This window comes from Homo sapiens, chromosome 4 (assembly GCF_000001405.40).
Source record: "Homo sapiens chromosome 4, GRCh38.p14 Primary Assembly".
Lineage (NCBI taxonomy): Eukaryota > Metazoa > Chordata > Mammalia > Primates > Hominidae > Homo > Homo sapiens.
The window spans coordinates 163,230,278-163,237,343 of record NC_000004.12 but is presented as its reverse complement, the minus strand read 5'-3'; the positions used below and the strand labels follow the sequence as shown (position 1 = coordinate 163,237,343).

The following is a 7,066-nucleotide window of genomic DNA, read 5'->3' as shown; positions in this document are numbered from 1 at the left end:
CTTTTTTAATCAATGAAAGCAAAGCTGAAAAAGGTTTTTTGAACATTTTGTTTCCACTTTAAAAAGTAACACAATAACTATTTAAATTAAGAATCACAATAATTATGAAAAAATTGGTATTTAATACTGCCATAAATTTATAAATAGTAATTGTCTGTTCCCTTCCTTGGTTTTATTCACTCCTCTTTCTGTTGGAAATGGAAATTGATATGTTTTTTTAAAATAGAATACTCTAACCTACTCTGAGAGTATGAGATCAACACTATTAATGTCATGGATCTTTATGGCAGGAGATAAGTAATCTGCATATGTTATCTTAACCCCACAATAACCTGATGGCACAGGCAGAACCCAGGATTCAAGGACTGTCAATGACCTATATAAGATCAGTGACATGGTATTGCTGTTTGCTCACCAGATCTCAACTTGAATTATATTTCCCAGAATTCCCATGTGTTGTGGAAGGGACCCAGCAGGAGATAATTGAATTATGGGGTCCAGTCTTTCCCATGCTATTCTCATGATAGTGAATAAGTCTCACGAGATCTGATGGGTTTATCAGGGGTTTCCACTTTTGCTTCTTCCTCATTTTCTCTTGCTGCCACCATGTAAGAAGTGCCTTTTGCCTCCCACCATGATTCTGAGGCCTCTCGGTAGCCATGTGGAACTGTAAGTCCAATTAAACCTCTTTTCCTTCAGGTATGTCTTTATCAGCAGCATGAAAACGGACTAATACAGTAAATTGGTACCAGGAGTGAGGTGTTGCTGAAAATATACCTGAAAATGTGGAAGCAACTTTGGAAGTGGGTAACAGGCAGAAACTGGAAGAGTTTGAAGGACTCACAAGAATACAGGAAAATGTGAGAAAGTTTGGAACTTCCTAGAGACTTATTGAATGGCTTTACCCAAAATGCTGATACTGATATGGACAATAAAATCCAGGCTGAGGTGGTCACAGATGGAGATGAGGAACTTGCTGGGAACTGGAGCAAACGTGACTCTTGTTATGTTTTAGCAAAGACACTTGTGGCATTTTGCCACTGCCCTAGAGATCTGTTGAAATTTGAACTTGAGAGAGATGATTTAGGGTATCTGGCAAAAGCAATTTCTAAGCAGCAAAGCATTCAAGAGGTGACTTGGGTACTGTTAAAGGCATTCAGTTTTAAAAGGGAAACAGTATAAAAGTTCAGAAAATCTGGTGCCTGACTAGGTGATAGAAAAGAAAAACCAATTTTCTGTGGAGAAATTCAAGCTGGCTGCAGAAATTTGCATAAGTAGCAAGGAGTCTAATGTTAATTCCCAAGACCATGGGGAAATATTTCCAGGCCATGTCAGAGACCTTCATGGCAGCCTCTCCCATCACAGGCTTGGAGGCCCAGGAGGAAAAAGTGGCTTCATTGGCCAGGCCCAGGGTCCCTGTGGTTTGTACAGCCTAGGGACTTGGCACTCTGTGTCCCAACCACTCCAGCTGTGGCTGAAAGGGGCCAACGTAGGGCTCAGGCTGTGGCTTTAGATGGTGGAAGCCCCAAGCCTTGGCAGCTTCCATGTGGTGTTGAACCTTCAGGTGCACAGAAGTCAAGAACTGAGGTTTGGGAACCTCTGTCTAGATTGCAGAAGATGTATGGAAACACCTAAATGCCAAGGTAAAAGTTTGCTCCAGGGGTGGGGTGCTCATGGAGAACCTCTGCTAGGGTAGTACAGAAGGGAAATGTGGGGTCAGAGCCTCCACGCAGAGTCCTTGGGAGCTGACTAGTAGAGCTGTGAGAAGCAGACCACCATCCTCCAGACCCCAGAATGGTAGATCTGCCAGCAGTTTAAACCATGCACCTAGAAAAGCTGCAGACACTCAACAACAGCCTGTGAAAGCAGCTGGGAGGGAGGCTGTACCCTGCAAAGCCACAGACGCAGAGCTGCCCAAAACCATGGGAACCCACCTCTTGCATCAGCATGACCTGGGTGTGAGGCCTGGAGTCAAAGGAGATCATTCTGGAGCTTTAAAGTTTGACTGCCCCACTGGATTTCAGACTTGCATGGGCCCTGTAATCTCTTTGTTTTGGCCAATTTCTCCCATTTGGAATGGCTGTATTTACCAAATACCCAAAACCTGTACCCTCATTGTATCTAGGAAGTAACTAGCTTGCTTTTGATTTTTGCATAGGCAGAAGGGACTTGCCTTGCCTCACATGAAACTTTGGACTGTGAACTTTTCGGTTAATGCTGAAATGAGTTAAGATTTTGGGGGAGTATTGGAAAGGCATGGTTGGTTTTGAAATGTGAGGACATGAGATTTGGAGAGGCCAGGGGTGGAATGATATGGTCTGGTTGTGTTCCCACCAAATCTCAAATTGAATTGTATTTCCCAGAATTTCCACATGTTGTGGGAGGGACCCAGGGGGAGGTAATTGAATCATGGGGACCAGTCTTTCCTGTGTTATTCTCATGATAATGAATAAGTCTCATGAGATCTGATGGGTTTGTCAAGGGTTTCCGCTTTTGCTTCTTCCTCATTTTCTCTTGCTGCCTCCATGTAAGAAATGCCTTTCGCCTCCTGCCATGATTTTGAGGCCTCCTCAGCCATGTGGAACTGTACGTCCAATTAAACCTCTCTTTTTCTCACTTTCAGGTATGTCTTTATCAGCAGCGTGAAAATGAACTAATACAGTCAGTCTGCTAGGAAGTTGCAAGCCCAGATAAGAACACACTTTTCCAGAGTCTTAAAGTAGTATACCTTCTAACACATTTTTTTGTCTCTGAGCTTGTGAAGAAAGAGAGAAGTCATAACATAATCCCTATACCTTCCTTCCTGTCACTGCAGTGGTTCTAAACTTGAGTATATAAGAATTACCGAAATGTAGATTTGGGGGTTCTTTGTTTCAAAATGTCAGGATTGAGGCTAAGAACTCTGCATTTTAGTAGTCATATCTGTTGATTCAGTTGCCAGTTCAAAGCCAAAAATTAAAAATACTTCTGTGTGCTAATTCTATCTTAGTTTTTTATTTAATGTAGGCAAATTACAGGAGTATTAGATGAGGAATATGATGGCCAAACTGTGAAGTCTTGAGCAAATTCAAGGGCAACTTCAGAACTAGAGTGAGAGGAGTAATTTAACTTCCAAGACTACATTTTGGATATAAGTGGCTCCCTACAAACTGTGTTTTCTTTTCTTACTACAACTACAGTTTTTTTCTTTTTTAATATTCCAAACTAGGCTAGAAATTTGAAAGCAGTTTTCTTCATAACATTTTCCATCCCTACTCAAACCCCAACATTTGGAAGAAATGTCTGTTTCATGTTATTTTTGACACTTTTCATTTTTGTCCCTGATGGAAATTGGCAGTGAAAAAACATGGAAATTTTCAAAATCCAGTAATCAAATTTAACTGCTGTCTTAGAAACAAGCTAGCAATTTTCAGAATTCTTCCTAAGCCATTGATTGTATCTATTAACATTTATTTAAAATTCTCCTCTGTTGAAAGATTTCTAGCTGTAATTAATAATAGAGAAATGTTTCCTAGTTCATTTCTAAAAAGTGGTCATCTTTGAAATTTAGCTCTCAAAATTATACCCTACTGCGGTCACATCTGGAAGCAGATTTGGAGTTTTATTAAGTGTGGTAATTACTTCTTTGTAAATATGGTACTCTTTAGTTAAATTATAAAACTTGAACTTGAGAATATGGTTTTAACTGTAATTTTTGTATACACAGAATATATCTTTGTTACTGACCTGTCAGTCACTTTATTGAAATCTGCTATAATTAATTGACTTACTCAGAAATGAGTAAGCTTTTAACACTTGCAGACAATAAGCTCCTTAAGGTGAATGTATGTGTCTGATTCATCTGTGATCTCACCAGTACATTACATCTATATAGATTGTCAACAAATACGTACGTAATTCATTTCTTTTATAAGAGTTTTAAAGACATACAGACCAGAAATCAGATCCTGAATCTTCCACATATTTATTTTTTCTATTTAGGCAAATAGATTTTCTTCATCCGTAAAAAGAGAATAAAAAAAGTACTAAATAAAAAAACAGTACTAAAATAAAAAAAAGTAACTCTCATGGTTAGTTTGAAAATTGAATGAGATAATGTATATAAAGCTCTGAACATGGGGCTGAAATTATACTAAGTACTCATTTGAAGTTAGTTATTAATAAATGAAGGAAAGATTATGAAATATTTTTGATGGTCACATGTACATTGTAACAGCAAGCTATTAGAAACAAATATGTATCTAGAGAAGATTGGTTGAAAAAACTATGCCATATATATATGAAGAAATTTTAAAGCACCATAAAAGAAGGTAAGAAAGTGTTTTATGTACTGATGTGGAATTTACTACAAGAAATGCTGTTATGTAACAAGTAAAACCAAAACCCCAAAACAAAATATAGTACAGAATATATATATATATTTATACAAGTATATATATATATACAAACGTATATATATATATATATATATATACTTGTTGGGAGATCACACAGATGAATCAGATAGGCACTCTCATCTTAAGGGATATGTCTGTAAGTGTTAAAAATGGCCTGATCATTTCTGAGTAAAAGTATAAATACACACACACATATCCATATACACGTATGCATACACATATGTATATACACATACATATCTATAAATGTAATTTGTACATATTTACTTGCATATGCATAAAATATTTCTGTAAAGACAGACAAGAAAATGAAACTCCATTGCTTGCAGGGAAGAGAATTGAGGTCTAAGACACAGAAGTAATATTCTAGTTCTTATAGCTATATTTTTCTTGTATTCACTTTTATAGCATTTGAATTTTGAAAAGTATATATTATTGACTCAAAACATAAGTAAATATAACTAAATATTTTTGAAATAACAAACAAGAGAGAGATTTAAAGTAAGACCATAACAAGAAAATAATGAGGAAAGAAAATAACTTTCATCTGAGGAATGTGAGCCCTTTCAAATTATTAGGCCCGGAGACCCATTAAAACGAGACAGTTATCACACCATACTCCCCACTCTGAGCTATGCATTCACCTTCCAAAGGGCTTGCTATTGCTACAAGTACCTATAAAGTAACCTAATAATGCCACACTGGGATACTATAACCCACACCCTGCAAGTTAACAATGGATGGCCAATCACTAATCAATGTTATTTCTATAAACCAATGAAAATTTTTGACAAAGAATTTTGTATCAGCCCATTACTCATCCCCTCCTTTTGTTTGCTTTTAAAAATCTACTTGTAACTGCTACTAACCAGAATGTATATTAAGGGCAACTTAAATCTATGCTTCCAGGTTGTGATCCTCAGCCTTGGCCCAAATAAACGCTATACTATTAATTTTGCCTCGGCTTCTTCCTTTTAGGTAAACAATAACAATTACTTAGAAAAAATATTTGTCATTCATGCAAAGAAAGACTTATAGATTGTAAAATGGTCTCACAGGAAAATAAAAACTTTTAACATGTTTACATGGAAAGTATAATAAATACAAGCATTTCTTCCTTTTATGTTTATAGATTTATCTTCTCCTCCTTGTTCTACAGTAGGAACAGTCTTCATATTTTAATGTAATAAACATCTTTGGGAATGGTCATATACTTCATTATTACTATACAACTCTTAAATAGTTTATTGTTATATTTAAATGACATTAACATTTTACTAGTGAAAGTTGACACACTCTCTACGCATAAGAATTTTTTCTTAAACATATCCATTCTTTCTGTACCATATAATTAAGAATGACATGATTTTAAGGTATTTATGAATAAGAAATAAATTATTATGGAGCCCAATGTCAGAGTTCATTCAGAAATCACCACTTTATGTTTTCTTTCTTATGTACTGTGCACCTACGAGTGATTATTTAAAGATAATTTCAGGACTATATTACTGAATAATTTTTAAAGTATAAGTCAGCTTTTGTTTTTATTTTAGTATAAGCTGGAGCCACATAGCATGAATGGCTGGCTTAAGGAATCATGAGTGTATACTTGAGGCTTGTTAGAGAATTGAGAATAAAATTTCTCTGTATAGCCTAGATTTTTAAAATTCTAATAGGAAAATGTTCCATTTTTCTTATAGCCAACATTAGTCTTAAAATGGAGTCCTTATATGTTAGGACTGAGAAGTGGTGTCACTTATCAAAAATGAATGGAGAAAACAGGCTCAGTATAATTAATAAAATGTTCTTTAGTTATGAGTTTCTTTGTGAAAGTGGAAACTGTTTTTCATACACATCAAAGATTTTGCACTAATTTATTAAAACTTGAGTATATTAAATTAATCATTATATGTAGGAAACACTTTACTTGTACCTGAAAGCAGTTTAACCAATTTGGTGTTGATTTAACTCTAAAAGCATGATGGAGTAACAACTGGGTATCTACCCAGAGGAAAAGAAGTCATTATATGAAAAAGATACTTGTACACACATGGTTATAGCAGCACAATTCACAACTGAAAAAATATGGAACCAGCCCAAGTGCCCATTCGATCAAGAAGTAGATAAAAAAATTACCATGGAATACTACTCAGCCATAAAAAGGAATGAAATAATGGCATTTGCAGCAACCTGGATGGAATTGGAGATTATTATTCTAAGTGAAATAACTCAGGAATGGAAAACCAAACATCGTATGTTCTCACTCATAAATGGGAGCTAAGCTATGAGGACATAAAGGTATAAGAATGATACAATGGACTTTGGGGACTTTGTAGGGGGAGGCACGGGGGAGAGGGGTAGATAAAAGACTACAAATCATGTACAGTGTATACTGCTTGGATGATGGGTGCACCAAATCTCAAAAATCACCACTAAAGAACTTACTTACGTAACCAAACACCACCAGTTCCCTAAAAACCTATGGAAATAAAAAACAAAAATAAGAGATTGGAGGAAACATTAAAAAAAATAATAAAAGCATTACAGGTTAGAGAAAGATTTCTTAGCCAAGATACAGTATACCCCAAAGGGCAAATATTTTTACATTTGATAGGTAAAATGGAATTGATTATAGCTTGTGAATAGACCCATTGTTCCTCTATTTGTAA

The 7,066-nt window shown here is 35.7% G+C and overlaps 1 annotated feature.

Annotated features, from left to right (window-relative positions):
* Positions 1,610-1,779: an enhancer, noted in NCBI's record as "experimental_75696 CRE fragment used in MPRA reporter constructs". NCBI's record gives its function as "activates a minimal promoter by MPRAs in K562 erythroleukemia cells, with activity observed for the non-introgressed 4:164156802 variant allele {active_cell/tissue: K562}" and the evidence as "EXISTENCE:reporter gene assay evidence [ECO:0000049][PMID:34662402]".